The 19,495-nt window shown below is 40.5% G+C and overlaps 1 annotated feature.

Annotated features, from left to right (window-relative positions):
* Positions 11,833–12,459: an enhancer, noted in NCBI's record as "OCT4-NANOG hESC enhancer chr6:137618853-137619479 (GRCh37/hg19 assembly coordinates)". NCBI's record gives its function as "activates a minimal SCP1, AML or CMV promoter by ChIP-STARR-seq in naive H9 embryonic stem cells {active_cell/tissue: H9 hESC(naive)}" and the evidence as "EXISTENCE:reporter gene assay evidence [ECO:0000049][PMID:30033119]".

A 19,495-nucleotide genomic window follows, 5' to 3' on the forward strand; every position in this document is an offset into this window, starting at 1 on the left:
TTTAAAAACACACAATTGATTAAAAGCAGCAAATGCATAATTGCCACTCGACATCACAGATCTAGCATTTGGAGCTGTTGGAAATTTAATATAGCTCTGAGTTTTCTGGCAGTCATATAAATATATTTTTTATTCTGATAAGTACTTATAATGTTTTGCAGAGTAATATGTACCTAAATCCTAACTTTAGAAAGGAATATATTTGTTTATGTCTTTATAAATGGGTATTAATATAATACATTTTTTGTCTTTACTGTTTCTCTCCAGGGCAGAAACTGTTTAAATAGCCAGTCTTAAGTCCTTAAATGCATTCTTCACAATGTTAGAGTAAAACGATCTCTGTATATTGTTTTTCGAAGTGCTATCTTTGGAAATAAGAATAAAGCATGAGATCCTAGAATCATGGAAGACCTAGAATAATTGTTATTATTAATGGCCATCACTCTCATAGCCCTTATGCATCAGCCATACATATCTAGCATTTTACATATATTATTTCATGTAATAATCAAATCAACCATATAGTGGAAGTATTATTAATACCACCTTAATTTCCTGTTAAGGAAAACATAGTTCCAAGAGGTCAGAAACTGTCACAAGGTATAGCTATTAAGGGACGGAGCCAGAATTTGATCTCAGACAGGCTATTCCCTGGGCCTGCACTCTCACCCCCTACTGTGTACTCTTTCACCCTCAAATATTCATGTGTTGCCTAATGCACAGGGTCATAATCAGTTCATAGTTTAATTCATTCACAAAGGCCTTAAATGCAGTAAATTGAAGGGAATATCTCAAATATTTTACTATGATAGGATTTTGTGATTTTATGCATTCAGGGTCATCTCCTCTTCTTATAGAGTTGGACTGGCTCAAAGGTGTCCATAGAAGGGCCAATATTTTGTGCAAGAATCTTTCGACCTACTTAAATATTGAAAACTACTATTCATCCAGTATGAAGTGCCAGAAGTATGAATTCACAATTTATTTTTTTAAATTAAGAGGAAATGTAGCCAATCAAAAACTTTAAGATAAAGTGTCAAAAGTTGGCATTTTGTAGAAAGATTGCTAAATGAATCATAAAATTGTCAATTTATCTGATTGAGTAGGGTTATTTTGTCATTCATTTAAATTTAGAAAATTATTGTATTAGTTAGGTTTCTCTCCATTGAATATAACAGAAACTTAACTTGCATCACTGTTAGCATAAATAGGAACTTGCTGGAAGGATACTGGGAGTGACTCATAGGACTGAGTGAAGAACTGAACAATTAGGCCTTGGAAAGATCAGGGTCTATGCGAACCACAGGCTAGAACACCTTGAGGACTCAGTGCTTCTCTGTGCATGGTGGTTTAACTTTTTCAGCTTTCTCTGCTGGTAGAAGACATGGCTACCAGCTTTTCTAGAATCATATACATATCAATCCCACTCAGGGAAAAAGAGAAAACTTTCCACTTGTAGCTTCAATGAGAAAATTCCATGGGAAGGGTTATGATGGGCCTCACTTAGGTCATCCACCTGACCCTGGACAAATCTCTGTGGTCATGTGAAGTAGACAGCATTATGGACTCAGCCTGGTCACGTGCCAATACCTGTTGTCAGGGGTCTAGAGTTTGAGATTAGATGTCCTACCACAACTACATGATCAGAATGGGCAGAAGAAAAGTAGGATGCTCTTCTGGGCAGATAAAACAACTTGTATTTGTTACAAATATTTATAAAACTCAGTTTTAATTTTAGGGCAATGTAAGAGGAAGCTACTGCTTTGTAACAAAAATCCCTAACATCTAGTTGAATACAACAGTAAGCAATTATTTATTACATATCTATGGGTCAGCTGGACAATTCTACTGATTTTAGTTGAACTTGCTCAAGCATTTGCAGGTTGCATAGGGGTTGACCAATCTGGGGTGGACTCAGCTGGGCAGCTCTGCATTATTCTCCCTGGACCAGCAGACTAGTCTTAATTTGTCTTCTCTCAGTGATGATTAAGGTACAAGAATATAAGCCCAATCATGGAGATATCTTTCAAGCATTTGATCTCATTATTTCAGTCCTCATGCCATTGGCCAAAGCAAACCACCTGTCCAGCTCCAAAACAAGTGATGGGCAAACACATCCCATCTAAGAAGGTAGGTGTGTGAATGTTTATGAACAATAACCTTACCTCCAAAATTAATTAATATCAAAATGTTCTTCCTGGAATTAAAAACAAGAGCACCTAGTTCTAACCAAAATTCCCGCAGGGTTTTTCATGAATTTTGATAAGTTGATCTCAAAAGTTTATATGAAAGAGTAAAGACTGAAAATATAGCCAAGATTGTTTTTCAGATAAAAGTAAAGTGGTGGGAATTATCAAGATTTTTCATAAAGCTATAATAATAAACCCATTTAATACTGATATAGGGAGCTACAAGATGGAAATGGCCAAGGAGCTGTTTTTTGAAAGACAAGAGGTTGTAATATTCAATTTCAAACTGAGTTTCTATGACATTTCTCCAAACCTTCAGGCAAGTCTTCTCCATCCCCACCCCAAACACATATACACACAATAGGAAAACTGAGAAAAATTCATGAGGACATGGATTCTATTCACTCTATCGTAGCATACAGAACAGGGTCTGGTGTACAGTAGATACTTGATAAAAATGTTCTGCATAACTAGATAAAAACTAGTATGAACAGGTTTGATGTATTTCCACAATGATAACCACACTGGTTGCGACTCCTATATATCTTTGAAGGTGTAGAGATGGTAGATTATTTACATTCCTTTTCAACATCTGGTAGCTCTGTCTTAAAATTTTTGCTTTTAAGTACTATGATAATTTGTGAGAGGTCTTAATACCCACCCAATTAACTTTTAGAGACTTGTGGGAATGAAACCAAGGAGTATGAAATTGAAACAGGCATTCAATTTCTAGATAAAAAGAGATGACAAGAAAAACATGTAAAAGAAGTACAGCATGAAATAAAAGAGGTAGGAGTATTTTCCTTAGAATATTAAGAAAATGCAATACTATTTTTTGCACAGTTGAAGAACACGATTGAAGAGAATTACCTATCAGAGTAGGTTAGTGTTAGAAGCAGATGTTGTCTAGGCATTTTGTTGAAAGAGACAGACTTTTAAAAAGGTTTTTATAAAATTTAAATTTTAATAATCAATATTTTATAATATAATACATTTACATTTTAGAAGTTACACTTAGTATATATTATATATAATTAGTATATGTAATATATATACTAAGTATAATAGTATAATATATCTTAGTATAATATATATGTGTTAAGTATTTATATACCCGTTATTCCCTTGGGTAATTTATCCTTCATCTTCATGAGCTTTTGGTCTTGCCAACTGTGTTTTGCTCTCTGTAGTCCATCTTTGTAATATAATCTTTGACGTGGGCAAGAGCTTACTGAAGTTATTGTTCCTTATCTGGAGGGTTTACAAAATTAATATTAACAGAATGACTAGGAAAAAGGGAGAGCTGCGTGTCCAAATGGAGTTCCAAGAAAGGAATTGAAAGTGCCTGTGTTAATCTGTCTTCCCCACGAAGACTGCTAATACCGGTGAGGGTGGTAACGGGGTGGCCTGGTTCCCCAGAGCCTGGATGAAGTGACTGAAGTCATGAAGACATTTCCACTGGATGGAAATATTTAACTGAATGGTGGAAAGAAAAAATATTTCCATTCATTCAGAAAACACCGAAGGCCTACTGTGTGCCAAACATTGCTCAGCAGTGAACTAAGCAGATGAAAATCCTATTCTCCTTGGGTCTTCATGCTTGCACGCTTGCTTCTCTTACCCAGTTAATACTAGAAACTATGGAGGAGAAAATAGAGTGAAGGGTAGGGAACCAGCCCGCCTGAAGCAGCCATCGCTGACCCACGGAGAAAGGGCTGTGAGACTGGGAGAGAGAGGGAAGGGCATCAGGCAGGGCAGGATCCCAGGACAGGCTGGAGGGTGGTCCTGAGCTGGCCATCTGGGAGGAGTGAACTTCCTGACTAAGCAAAAGTAACTACCTATGAGGCCGTGGGATGAGATGAGTTTCCCATCATTATCTCTGTCCTTCCATTCCCGAAAAAATAAATAAGAAGAGAAGGTCCTCCTCTCCCAGGAGCTTCCCAGGGTGGTTTTAGTGGAATGTACTTGAGAGTAAATATCAGAAGACTTGGGTTCTAGTGTAAATTCTATTGCTGACAGTTTACTGGTGGGTAAAATGAGTTCAGTTTACATAGTCTCTCAGTTGTCTCTCAACTCTTTATGACTGTGTAGCCCACCAGAAGCAGAAATAAAGATATTCCCTGTTTTGTGTGCATACATTTCCTAGACCCAAACTCATGTCTTTGCATAATGCTTATCAATAGAATAACTAAATAAAGCATTATTCTGTTTATAATAGAATGCCTCATAATCTTGTATATTGTTGAAATACCTCAATTAAAGTTTTATTATTATTACTGAAACTTCATGGCATGAAAAGTCAAACTAATTTTTTATTCTAAAACCACACCCACCAATTGCCAATTTGTCTTCAGTGTAACAACCACGTCTTCTTTGCCTATTGTAACTGTGTCTTAGTTTCTATCTGAAATGTTCACTTACCTGTGAAGTTCCTGATATCCCCAGTCCGAATGCACTTTTTCGTCTGTCTTCTCTCAGCACCTGTTTTATCCCTCTGCTGAATCACTTGGCATATTCTCGCTTGTACTAGGTGTGTGTCTGTGTATGTGTAAGGGGAACAAACATATCTCCCACAAACGATTTTGAGTTCTTTGAGGGTAGGACTTGTATCTGACTCGTCTTCATATCCAAACAATTAACACAGCACATTGCATAAAGTAAATGCCCAACACACATTTGTGGGAGTGCATTTACCTGCCCTCTGACACATGCCAGTTGTTCTGGCTCCTGCAACTCCTCAGCTGCCTCAATTCCTGGGAAACTCAGCTAATAGTGATTAAAACCCACAGATTGCAGAAAAAAGATGAGATAAAACACACAGATTGTCTGGGTCTTGGAAAGGAGCTATTACAGATGGAATTGACATTGGCAAAACACCAAATAACATAAAAATGTGGTAGAATTGATTAATTCTGCCCAGTAAATAAACAAAGTTAATTTATCTTCTCAGTTAGTCACATATCTATGACTCCTGGCCCAGGTAGAGGTGGAGGCTGGCAGGCTGCTCAGGTCATAGGATGGCACCATTTAATTGGAGAGGCCCGGGCAGGGCTTTCCTACATACGTCCAATACTACCTGAAAGTACCTACCATACAGAATAGACCCCATCTGTAAGAATTCTGGTCTCTCTGGTTTGGAAGAGGGGAAATGGTCTCTTTTTGTTTCTGCTTTTATTTATATATTTTTCGTTGGGTGTGGGAGGGATTGCAAGGGTAGGAAACCCATAGTATCACAGGGGTCAGCTGATCTTCTTTGGTTAGTAAATAAAGGGGGTCCCCAGTCAGAGGCTCCAGGTAGCCATGTCAGAATGTACTCTTGGTGTTGAATCTACCATTTATCTTTCTAGCACTGGATTCATTTCTTAGTTAATGGGTCTTTGGTATAACTTCCGGGCCAGATCAGTGTAATTGCAAACCACTTGAGTGGGATTTTTATTCCAGGGGATGTGGGCATTGGTACAAAGTGAAGAAGAGAGAAGTCTAAGATGAGTAAAAAATAGTTCTTATCTTCAAAGTTGGTTATAGTCCAGGAAAAGATGGGCATGTCCACACTAGTGTGGGAAGTGGTTTGTGTGGGCTGAGTGTGGAACTGAGCCAATTTCCAACTTCCACATTTACAGAGTTCTAAGCCTTTTCCTTTCAGCTGTTTGTTCAACCCACGGCTAACGAGCTCTGGAACAGCATGTGGAGCACACATTCATATGACAGGGTTTCTGCTTTTAAGGAGTTTGTAAGCATCTTGTGGAGAAAAAATTGACCCCATGAAACAAATAATATAAACATTTAAAGTGCTTTGTCATAAGACAGTAACATTAGGTATAAAATAATTTTATTTATAAAGAAAAAAATTGGTACTGGCTTGAGTAATTAAAGATGTCAAGAAGGAGTAGGATTTGAGGAGGACCTTGAAGAAAATGAGAGCTTACAGAGAGGGGAGTATCCCAGGAGGTGGCTGATCCACCAGCACCATAATCACATAAAGTCATTTCTGGGATCATGTGATAACTATGTTCTTAAGAAGCCTTGTGTATTCTCAAATGTTTTATAAAGTATTTATTAGGGGTTGGGTAGAAGGAGACTACAAAGTAGAGAGTTTCAGAAGCTCATTAAAAAAGTTATTTGTCGGGTTGGGAATGGTGGCTCACGCCTGTAATCCTAGTACTTTGGGAGGCCAATGGGGGCGGATCACAAGGTCAGGAGATTGAGACCATCCTGGCTAACATGGTGAAACCCTGTCTCTACTAAAAATACAAAAAATTAGCCCGGTGTGTTGGCATGTGCCTGTAATCCCAGCTACTCCGGAGGCTGAGGCAGGAGAATCACTTGAACCTGGGAAGCAGAAGTTGCAGTGAGCTGAGATCACACCACTGCACTCCAGCCTGGGTGACAGAGTGAGGCTCCGTCTCAAAAACAGACAAAAAACAAACAACAACAAAAAAAGTTATTTGTCAAGTCAGGAGCAGTGGCATGTGCCTGTAGTCCCAGCTACTCAGGAAGCTGAGGACTAGAAGTGTTTCAGATTGCTTTGAACTTTGGAATATTTTCATATACTTCAAATGGGATATCTTGAGATGGGACCCAAGTCTAAACACAAAATTCACTTATGTTTCATATACATCTGATATGGTTTGGCTGTGTCTCCACCCAAATCTCATCTTGAATTGTAACTCCCACAATTCCCACATGTCATGGGAAGAACCTGGTGGGAGGTGATTGAACTATGGGGGCAGGTCTTTCCTGTGCTGTTCTCATGATAGTGAGTCTCACAAGATCTGATGGTTTTAAAAATGGGAGTTTCCCTGCGCAAGCTCTCTCTTTGCCTGCTGCCATGCAGGTAATATGTGACTTGCTCCTCCTTGCCTTCCACCATGATTGTGAGGCCTCCCTTGCCATGTGGAACTGTAAGTCCAAGCCCAGCCTCAGGTATGTCTATATCAGCAGCATGAAAACAGACTAATACAACACCTTATACACATAGCCTAAAGGTGATGTTATATAATATTTGTAATAACTTAGAGCATGAAACCAAGCTTTTTTTTTTTTTCTCTTTTTAGACAGCATCTCACTCTGTTGCCCAGACTGTAGTGCAGTGGTGTGATCTCAGCTCACTGCTGCCTTGACCTCCTGGGCTAAAGCGATCTTCCCACCTCAGCCTCCTAAATAGCTGGGACTACAGGCATGTGCCACCACTCCCAGCCCACCATGCCTGGCTAACTTTTGTATTTTTTATAGAGACATGATTTCACCATGTTGCCCAGGCTGGTCTTGAACTTCTGAGCTCAAGTGATCAGCCTGCCTTGGCCTATCAAAGTGCTGGAATTATAGGTGTGTGTTGCCCCTCTTGGCCTAAACAAAGCTTTGATTGCATTTTGACTGCAACCTGTCATATGAGGCTAGGTTTGGAAAATTTCTACTTGTGGTATCATGTTGGTGCTCAAAAAGTTCCTGATTTTGGAGCCTTTCAGATTTCAGATTTTCAGATTAGGGATGGTCAACCTATTGGTAGCATAGCTTCCATGCCTTAACTAGTCCCTAGGCACCCAAACAAAGTAGCTGTGTGTTCCTGGGCAGCTACTTTGCAGGGCACTGTGCCAATACCTGGTCAAGCTCACATTCTAACCAACAGGCATAGAATGAAATTAATGCAATAATCAATGGCATTCTATTCAATACTAGTTATGAAAATTTAAGCTGTAGGGAAATGGCCACGTTTAAACCTTACCAGGCTTCTAAGTGTTTTCAAACACATCATCTTGTTGGATTTCCATTCAGTGCCTACCTGTGGTAGGGAGGCAGACTTCTACGATGGCCACAATTGATTCCTGTCTCCTGATATTCACATCTTATGTGATCCCCTCTTGTTGAGTGCAGGCTGGATCTAGAGACTTGCCTCTTACCAAAAACATATGGCAAAAATAATGAGATGTATGTAACCTCTGTGACTAGATTACAAAAGACTGTGACTTTTGTCTTCCCAGCAGTCTCTTTCTTCTTGGTGTTGATGAAGTTAATTGCCCTGTCGGACAGGCCCATGTGGCAAGGAACTGAGGGCAGCCTCTGACCAACAGTCAGAGAGAAGCTGAGGGGTCCTCAGTTCTATAACTGGAGAGGAACTGAAACCTCCCAATAGCCATGTAAGTGAAGGAGTGCAGGGAATTTCACCCCAAAATATGGCTCCCTGGTATAATGAGTATTTTGAATTAAAGTTCTTAAGAGATCAACAGATGCTGGGAATGACTTTTTCCTTATCCACATGAAGACTAGACAGACCCACCAAGAAGAACAATTAGTTTTTCTTCCTCTCCCTGTTATCACACTAGCTATTGCAGAGAAAAAGACCAAGAAGTAACCAGACCTGATTATACCCCTTCACGAAATATCTATCCCTCAGGCTCATTCCATTTCCAAAGAGAATCATTTATAAGTTAATCTCTGTTCCCCTATCCATTCATCCTCCCAAGTATTCTTTCATTCTCCCTTATAATCATTTATTGCCCCTTAACAGAATTACCTATATTCCCATCACTCTCCTCCCCTCTAAAATAAGGCTATATAAATATTTGAACCCCATTGGGATGTTGAGTAATCATTCTTGATTCTCCCTCATGGTATGTGAATAAATTTGTGTGCCATTTCTCCTATTAATCTGCCTTTGTCAATTGATTTTTTTCAGCAACCTTCTGACAGCTGTAAACCAAAAATAAAATTCTAAGCCCCGCAACTGACTGATGGACCCCTCTCCTGGCCAAGGTCATTCCAAAGTGAACCTGAAAAACTAGTTCAGGCCATGAACTAGTTTCGGTCTTGCTCTAGTATAGAATCACACGACATTTAGCAAACCCATAAGGAAATCAAGTATTTTAGCCCAAAAGATATTTCTTTGACATGTTTTGAAATGGCCCTAAAAAGCTGTCTCTTACGGGGAACATCTCCATTCTGTAGAGAATCCCCTTTCTTTTCTGGATCTTTTCCCTGATCCAGGAGACCATTAACGAAGTGTCTGGCACCCTTTTAGATCTGATATGAGCTATGAAGCCTGCTACCTGTAGGCTTGATCTGCATAATAAAAACCTTGGTCTTTAGATAATAACCTAACTTTTTCAACCAATTGCCAATCAGAAAGTCTGTGAATCCACCTATGACCTGGAAGCCCCTGCTTCAAGTTGTTCCACCTTTCTGGACTGAGCTAATGTACACCTTCCATGTATTGACTGATGTCTGCCTATAACTGCTGTCCCCTAAAATGTATAAAACCAAGCTGTAACCCAACTACCTTGGGCACATGTTCTCAGGACCTCCTGGGGCTGTGTCATGGGTCATGGTTATTACATTTAGCTCAGAATAAATCCCCTCAAATATTTTACAGAGTTTGACTCCTTTTGTTGACACAGCAAAGGGGAAGCTTTCCCTTCACCTCTACATACGTGAACTTGCAAGTGAATCTTTCCCCAGCTGACGCTTCAGATTGCCTTGATTGCTACCTGTGAGACAGCCTGAAGCAGAAGATCCAGACAAGTGCCCCGGAACCCAGTGGAAACTGTGATGTAATAAATATATGTTGTTTTAGACTCATTTGTTATGTAGAAATAGACTCTGTGATATGGCAGGGGTTAGTGATATCTCCACTTTAAGACCAGACAAATATGGCTCAGAGACAGTAAGTGACTAGTGTTGGGTAGTGTGGAGTGGCCAAGCTGAACATTTGTGATCTTCAGCCTGGTGATGTGTCACTGATCCCCTGCACCACTCCTCCTCCACACGAGTGTGGTACATATGGACTGTCAGGCCCTATCAATCTCTTGTTATTTGTCTCTTTCCTGTTTATCCACTAATGCTCAGCCCAAGCCAATGTGCACTAAATGTATCTTTCTCTGTTCCACCGTAGTAATCTATAATTTTGAGGAGTGCTGGAAAATCCTGGGAAGCTGTATAGGGATTAAGCTCAGCTCCCCTTTTTTGGGGGTAACTAAGCCCCGTGCATTTGTGCTAGTGGGGACCATGCCCAGGCTCCGATCCTAGCTATGCCACTTAACGACTATTTGAAATGTTACTAAGTGCCTCTGGGAATCCATTTCTATATCGGAAAAATGAAGGTAACACAACCTCTCTCTTAAGACGCTATGAAGATTAAGTCAGGTAACACACGAAACCCTGATGTGCAAACATTCAAATGTTATGCTCCCCTTGCTGCTGTCTGTCCTTAATGTAGCCAAAGGTACCCATGCATCTAGGTCTTCTGAAAAACACATGCATGTTGGACAACCTGAGCTTTTAACAGTCATAATATAACATTTTCTTTACTTATATTCCAAGTTTATCTTTTATCCGTATTAGGTAATTATTCAAATCAGTTGAAACTGGATAAATATCTGTTGCAAACCAAAAATAAAATTCTAAGGCTCCCCAGCCATCTGAATGGACTTCCTCCTCAGCCAGGGTGCTCTTAAAATGTAACCTGAGAGACTGGTTCAGGCCACGATGGGAAGTGGGGGGTCAGACATGCTTCATTATACCTCTCTGGTGTTAACATAACATAGACCTTAAGTCGGATTGAAACATTTGCAATCTATTCTCTCTGAAGCCTGCTACCTGGAGGCTTCATCTTTATGATAAAACTGATCTCCACAACCTCTTATCCCAACCCAGGCATTTCCTTTCTATTGATCCCAGGTATTAGATAAACACAACCAATTGTCAACCAGAAAAATTTTAAATCTACGTACCACCTGAAAGCATCCCTCCCTTTTGAGTAGCCCTACCTGTCTGGACTGAACCAATGTACATCTTAAATGTATTTGACTGAAGTCTCATGTCTTCCTAAAATGTGTAAAACCAAGCTGGACCCAACCGCCTTGGGCAAACATTCTCAGGACCCCCTGAGGGCTGTGTCACGGGCCACAGTCAGTCATGTTTGGCTCAGAATAAATTTCTTCAGAATACAGAATACAGAATAATATTCTTCTGTAATAAATTTTACAGAGTTTGACTCTTTTCATGGACACTATGAGCCAAGTATCTCTAATATTCAAGGAGTACGCAAAGGCCTCTGTGGCATGATGGTCAATCCTATGGAAAATGAACATCTTGCCTTAACTAGAAGTATAGAATGTGCTGATTAGGGCTATGGGCTCTGAAGTCAGGCTTCCCAGTTTGAGCTCTCTGCCAGATTTAGCTGTGTGACCTAGGGCTTTGTCATTTGAAAAATGACTATAAGAATAGTACCTGTTCATGAGGTTGAGAGGAGAAGGTGAGGATTAAATGATTTCAACCTTGTTATGTGTGCAGCCCAGGGCTTTCAGCATAGCAAGCATTTTATACATATTAGGCCTCGCCAGTTTCACTGAGAGTTTTGAAGAGGAATAAACAAGTAACTTCTGATATTATCTAAAGCTGAAGCCCAGAAAAGCACACTTGTGAAGGGAAGTTTCACTGTGTAACATATATTCAGGTTACGTATTTTACAATTACACATGGGGATAAATTCATTGATCTAGGCAGATTTTAATAGGTCTAGCTGGAAGCTTCAGAAGTGCAGTGATGGAATTAATTAGATACTAAGTCCTTGATGAAATTTGAGAATTTCATTGAGTCCTTGATTTGAGAATTGAACGTATTCAAAAGCCTTGCCCACAAGCTTGTAATCCCTATGGAACCAACCAAACTCATCAAGAAATGAGTATGTTTTTAAAGTCCAATTTGTGATAAATAGCTCTTTTTCCATTTTCCTTGCTTTCTGCGAGACAGGGGTGAGAAGCTCTGCTGAAGGTATTTCCTTAATGAAAGTGTTTCTTTTATCACGGAAAGGAAATATTGAGTTATTCCTGACAATTCCCCCTAACTATGAGCTCTGTAGCTCTCTAAGGAAGGAATCCTGTAGCTTTTCCTGAGATGCAGGGTCTGCCCGGCAGGGAGAGTGAAATAGACTAAGTCTGCCGCTCAGCTGCCTTTGTCAAGGGCCAGACCCTGGCCTTGGGAACTGACTCGCGGCAGTTTGCAAATGTATGTGCTTGGTGGGAAGCCTGCAGTTCCCTTTATTCTTGAACCACAGGAAACCTGATAGGGAAGCCGTAGTGTGTCATCCCTGACTACCCCAGCTTCCAAACAGGAACATCATGAGTAACTTTTCAGACAATATCAAACATGAACATTCAGTGTTTAACCAATTCTTTCTCCAGATGCAAATAACAACTTGTTCTACATCCTTTCCTACAAACCTACTGTTTAAACAGCCAAGTAAAAGAACAGATCTTCCACTAGGTTTGAAGCCTGAGTTTTTTACAGGGAATGAATAAGAATTTCTAATTTTTCTACCTCCCTCACTGTTACCATCCAACTTTTATTTCTCTTTCCTGGTTTTCCTTAAACCCCTATGGAAAGCCAACAAATCAAAACTAATGAGAGCGTTCAGGACATGCTACCCCTAAATATAGGGGCACTTGGAATACTGAGTGTTTTAAGCTGAGGGAAACTGAGAACATTGTAGAAGCAGGAAGGCCTCCTGAAACTTCTCCCACCTTCTTTTCTGAAGCAGACTAGGAAAGTAGAAAGAATTTTCTTACCATCCCCTGAAGCAGGTCATAAGACCCTCATTTGAGATGTATCTTTTCTGTACCCAGAGGAAAGGAGTATCTTTATCTGTGAAGACACAGGGACTCTGAGAAAAATCTCAGCAATAGGCCTTGCTATGATTACCTTTAGATCACACCCATCTTGTCCTCTAATCATACTTCCCCATGACTGTTCGCTTTTCATTAAGCCTAAGCATAAAAATGCACAAGTTTACCTGTTTCTTTGATCTTCATATCCAAAGGCTCCTGTGTCACGTAAAGCTTCTATTAAATAAATTCATATGCATTTCTCTTGTTAATCTGTCTTTTGTTATAGGGGCTTCAGCCATGAACCTAAGATAGGAAGAAAAGATATTTCTTTTGCCCTATACTATTCTTTTTACTGGTATTCAGAATGACTAGGAATTAAAGACTTTTCCTATCAATTGTTTTCATATATGTACCTGCCTCTGTCTAAAAGCTTAGGAAATACACCTATGGAAAAGAGATAAATCTGTCTCCCGTCATGCTGTAGGATACATCTTTTACAACACAGATGACCCCCAGAAGAGTGATTTTTTATGCTCATTCTATACCTAGTTTGTTTTTAACTTAGTTGTGAGTGAAGCTCATTTCTTTTCCAAGCCCCACTGAGGTAGACATTACAAGTGTTCATCAATCTCTGGCTATTTTCTAATTCTGGGTGTATGGAGTGACACACTTTCCCACCCCCTTGAATTTAGGCTTGGCCACTTAGTTTTCTTAGGCCCATGAAGTGTGAATGGAAGTGACCTGTGTAGAAAGTGTTGGGAGGAAACTTTTCCTCTACCATTTTAGGCTTGGATTGTTGGGGCCCTGTGAGTTAATGGACAATAGGTAAACTAACAGGAGAAATGACAAGTTTATTAACCATGTCCATGTACACTGGGGAGTGCTTTAGTAACAAGTAAATCCCCTTTAGTAATGAGTAAATATGATAAATCTTTTCTTGATTATCTCTCTCATTCTAAAATATTCATTTTTAAAAGAGATGTTATTATCATGTAAATAACATGACTCATTTTCTTCAGGGATTCATGAAAGATGTCTGTCCAAAGCTAAAAGGTTATACACCAATTTATCCACTAGCAAGAAAAGGAGAGGGGGAGTTTAGGACTTCAGTGAGAAAGTATGGAAGGTTCTATTGGGCTTTTAAATGCTCATGGGAAGCTGAATTCATACTTCCTAATATTTAAAAGTCATTCTTCTGCCAAACAGGAAACTCCCTCGGAAGGACAGGGGTGGCCATTTCTCCTATTTCAGCTGTACTTTCTTGGGTGTATCTGCTTAAGTTTAGATAATGTTTCTTTCTGTGACTGATGACTGTTCACGTGTTGTTAGTTTAAAGTAATGTTAATCTCTTCAAAAGTATTTCATTGCTAGGGCGAGACTCTCTGAGCCCTGTCTCCCTGGAAATGATCATGGCAGCACATATTGTTACGTAGATGCTGAGCCATCACTGAGTGCACAGAGATCCTGGACAATCTCCTGGTCTACAGACTTCATGTAGGCACAAAAGAAACCTTGGTTAGTTTAAGCCTCTGCAATGTGTTGTTTGTGTAAAGGAAAAGAAATATCTTTTCTCCACTCATTTCTAGGTTCATGGCTGAGACCCCTATAACAAAAGACTAGATTAGCATCAAAATTTATTTCATGTAAGTTTTACATTACATGAGAGCCTTCAGAAATGAGGACTCAAAGAACCAGGGAAACCTGTATATGTTTATGCTTAGGCTTGCTGGAGTGTAGAGTCAGTTGTGCAGGAGTTGGATTGCACAAAAGGAATATGATTGAATGGTAGCCCGCTAGGGGAGTTTAGCAAGGCCTGCTTGTTCAGCTTCTTCTTGGAGTCCCTGTGTCTTCGAGAATAAGAATGTTCGTATCCTCTGGGGAAAGGAAGGGTGCCTCTGGAATGAAGGTTTTATGACCTGCTTCAAGGAAGAAGGGCAAAGGGATAGTGAGACTACCTTCCTGCTTCTGCTGTTCTCTCCAGTGCCAAGCTGCCATATTTTGGGGTAGTGTGTCCTGAAACCTATTATCAGATTTTTTAAAAAGTTCCTGGTGATAATATTGCTAGCGGTGGCGAATCTGTACGGGTCTGCCACTGCCTCAATTCTTGCTTCTGCGGAAGAAAGAATTTGACTGAGGGGCATAAGGCAGAAGAAGAGACTGAGGCAAGTTTTAGGCAGGAGTGAAAGTTTATTAAAAAGCTTCAGGGCAGGAATGAAAGGAAGGAAATTACAATTGGAAGAAGGCCAAGCGGGTGGCTTGAGAGATCAAGTGCACTGTTTGACCTTTGACGTGGGATTTTATATGTTGGCATGCTTTGGGGGGGCTCGTGTCCCTTCTCCCCTGATTCTTTTCTTGGGGTGGGCTGTCTGCATTCACAGTGGCCTAATAGCCTTGGGAGGGGAGCATGCTCAGTGTGTTTACTGGAGTTTACACTTGCTCACTTGAGGCGTTCTTCCCTTACCAGTCGAATGTCCCTCGAAGGTCATATACCAGTTAAACTCCACCATTTTTCCTCTTAACGTGCATGCTTGAGCCCACTTGCCCAGCTCCTGAGATCTTATCAGGAAGCTGCTGATTTCAGATGTTTCTGTTTACTGGGAGACGGGGCCTTTCCCTGGTGCTGGCTATGACCAATCATTATTTTATAGAGACAATCAACAACCAGCTGACCATCCCCTGACGGTTGCCTGACATTCCTGGTGGTTTGGTGGGGTGGCCTCTCCTACTTTCCTCATGTCTGACTAGCTACCTACTGTTAACAATAGGATGAATGTGTTTTTTTTTTTTTTTTTTTTGAGACGGAGTCTCTCTCTGTCGCCCAGGCTAGAGTGCAGTGGCGCCATCTCCGCTCACTGCAAGCTCTGCCTCCCGGGTTCACACCATTCTCCTGCCTCAGCCTTCTGAGTAGCTGGGACTACAGGCGCCCGCCACCAAGCCCAGCTAATTTTTTTTTTTTGTTATTTTTAGTAGAGAAGGGGTTTCACCGCATTAGCCAGGATGGTCTCGATCTCCTGACCTCGTCATCTACCCATTTGGGCCTCCCAAATGCTGGGATTACAGGCGTGAGCCATTGCGCCCGGCCGAATGTTTTTCTTGATTATGTATCTTTTTCATGCTAAAATATTCATTTTTAAAAGAAATACTGTTATCATGTAATTGACATGAATCATTTTCTTCAGGGATTTATGAAAGATGTCTATCCATTTGTAAGCTTTTTCTCATATTTCGTAAAGTGCTTTATTGATATGTGGGTGTAATAAATCCTTGCTCTACTGGTAACCTTTGTTCACTTTTTTCTATATTGGAAGCAAGCATGCCCTACCTGAAACAGGACTTGCTATTTCCCACTAGAGGTTTGTTTCTTAGCCATAAAGCCTTGGCTCCTCGGAGCCTTCTGTTCAATTGTGAATGAGCTCAGTGTGACTGCACTATTCATTCACTTTTCCTTTCGCAGATAGTTTTTTGAATGTTCACTATGTGCCAGGCATTGCATTAGGCTCATTAAAAATAATTTATTGGGAGGCCATTCGGCTGAGATGGCCTAACTTCAGCACCTTGGGTTTCTATGTAAGCAAACCGAAACCTAATGCAATGTAAATGGTAAAATGAAACTTAAACTTTACTGATCAGGAACTGCCAACTAACTCCTAATTAGGGACTTTACTAATCAGGAACTGCCAGCTAACCTCTAATTAGGTCTTTACCAATCAGGAATCACCAACTCAGCTCTTAACTCGGGACTTCACCAATTAGGAATGGCCAACTCACCTTTAACTAGAGACTTTAAGGCTAGTATTCCACTGTAACCAGTCACACATTTCTTCGTCTTGCTTCCGAGAAGAGCCTTATTAAAGTTTTCCCCCCATGCTCCTTTGGTGAAGCTGAAAATCTCCTGTCATCTTCAGCTGCTTGATTTATGAATCACGGTTTGCCCAAATAAACTCTTTGAAAGTTTAGTGTGCCTAAGTTTATCTTTTAACAAGCTGTTGGTTATTTGTAAATAAAGACAAACGCTCTGACCTCGAGTCCCTCATAAGTTAGGCACAGAGGCCAACATGTCAGCTGGTAATAGCAATACAAAGTGGTAAATTAAGCCAGTGACAGGAGTTTACACAGGGTGCGTGGAAGGGCAAAGGATTAGCAACTGTTCTAATACTGAGTGATATGGTTTGGTTGTGTCCCCACCCAAATCTCATCCTGAATTGTAGTTCCTATAATCCCCACGTGTCATGGGAGGGACTGGGTGGAAGGTAATTTAATCATGGGGGCAGTTACCCTCATGCTGTTCTCATGATAGTGAGTGAGTTCTCACGAGATCTGCTGATTTTATAAGGGGCTTTTCCCCCTTTTGCTCGTCACTTCTCCTTGCTGCTGCCATGTGAAGAAGGATGTGTTTGCTTCCCCTTCTGCCATGATTGTAAGTTTCCTGAGGCCTCCCCAGCCATGCTGAACTTAGTCAATTAAACCTCTTTCCTTTATAAATTACCCAGTCTCAGGTTTGTCTTTATTAGCAGCATGAGAATAGACTAATTACACTGAGGGAATGTACACAGAAGCCTTCTTAGAGATGATACCTGTCTGAAAAATGAAACCGTTAGATAAGAGAGCAAGGCTAGGACTGGGCAGGAAGAGTAAACTCTTTGGCCTTGATGAATGTACCATGTTAGTGTGGGGACAAGGTTGTGGGATGAGGGCACGAGGAATGATGATAGTAGAAGGAAGATAGTGTAGAGACAAATTTTGCAAAGTCCATAAATTGCCAAAGACATGATCTAAATAGATTAAACAGAACAGTAGATGATATGTATTCTTTCTGGGTAGGAGTGGGGGTGCTAAAGGGAAGGAGAAAAAGAGTGAGTACAAACCCTCAGAGATTCCTTCTCTCTTCTGAATAGTTACAGCAGAAGTCTATTTTCACTTTTAGTGGGCTGGTCAGCATCTGGATGAGTAGTATTTGTAGATTTCCAGGCTTCTGTGGTTTGGAGGTTTATGATAAGGATTTTACTGTTGGATGGGAATCAGAGTTCCTGCAAACTGATCCTGATCCTTGACTCAGTCGGGCCACCTGGCTATGGCAGTATGTTGCAGACAAATGGCTGTAGTCACATGGCTCGGCAGTAAAGGTATGTTGAAAGGTAGTTCTCCAGAGAGAAAGGTAGATCTCTCTCATTTCTTACATCTTGTGAGCAGAACTAACAGACCCCTTGTTCTTTTCAAAGATGTTTGTATAGTAAATAGTCTTGGAAAACAGAGGTAAGATCTCTCTCCACAACAGAGGGCAGGTTTGTTTGCTGTCCAGTATAATAATATCTCTCTCTAGGGCAAAGAGAGAGATATATTATTTTCTTTAATGAGCGGGTTTGTTTGTAGCCCATTAAAGAAAAATAAAGTTTTCCTAAATTTGGGATTCCTTGGCTATTGTAACCAAATTCATGTTCAGCTGCTCACTGCTTGAAAAGCCAGACATGAGAAGTGAGGATTAGTGGGAGGAAAGCAGGTTTCTTCAAGTGCTAGAAGCTTGAGGAAACAGCCTGACTCAACTCTCAAAAAACCATCTCAAATTCTCAGTTTGGCTAAAGAGGTTTAAAGGGGAAAGGTGGCATGGAAACTATGCACCAGCATGGTGCGGGGTGCAAGTTTGCTTGTAATTTTCTGGTGACTTTTTTCAGTAATGGACCACCCAGAGGCCTCACTGGCATCATCTCAGCAGGGTTCAGGTTATGGATTAATTGAACACCAATTTTTTCTCAGAAGGGAGAAAATTGCAACTGCTATCTCCACTTTATGCCTACATTATTTCAATATTGGCCACTGGAATTCTCTAGCAAACAGTTACATGTAACAAGGAACAAAGGGAGGGAGGGGTTACTTTTAGAGTAAGCTAGCAAACTGGCTATACTAGTTACAATATGATGCAAACCTCCTTCATGTATCGACCCAGCCCACCTTCATTACTCCAGTGAGACTTAGCAGAACAAGGGGTTGATGTGAATATGAAAACACATGCTACCCGTTGTGTTGGAAGTAAGAAAGTCCTTTGAGTCTAATCCAGAGTCTTGTGGCTTTTGCAATTATCCATGAAATTGTGGCAGGATAAATTGTTAGCTTGCTTTTTGGTAAATAGCTTAGGTCTTCACAGCTCTTGACAGGCAGGACACTGGTGCAAGACTCCAAACTGCAGCAGGATCATGATAAGGGTGTCTTTGAACAACACACTTGGAGTTAGGCATTATCCAGGTAGAACAGAGCTAATAGTTTCTGCTTGATCCATATTGATTATGAATTTGACAAGTTTCTATCACACAGATCACTCAGGAAATCAGTGTTAATGGAAATGATTACACAGGGGACTATAATTTTATTTACAGTATGTGAAAGTTGAAAAACATAGGGACATAAATACAATGTCTAATTAAATTCTGTTTTAATTCCTTTTGGACTGCCGGGACCAGTTCGGTCGGGGAGACCCTAACCTAGTGGCGCTAGAGGAATTAAAGACACATACACAGAAATATAGAGGTGTGAAGTGGGAAATCAGGGGTCTCACAGCCTTCAGAACTGAGAGCCCCGAACAGAGATTTACCCAGTGTTTATTAATAGCAAGCCAGTCATTAGCATTGTTTTTATAGATATTAGATTAACTAAAAGTATCCCTTATGGGAAACGAAGGGATGGGCCAAAATAAAGGGTTGGGTTTGGCTAGTTATC

The sequence above is a fragment of the Homo sapiens genome, chromosome 6 (assembly GCF_000001405.40).
Source record: "Homo sapiens chromosome 6, GRCh38.p14 Primary Assembly".
Taxonomy (NCBI): domain Eukaryota; kingdom Metazoa; phylum Chordata; class Mammalia; order Primates; family Hominidae; genus Homo; species Homo sapiens.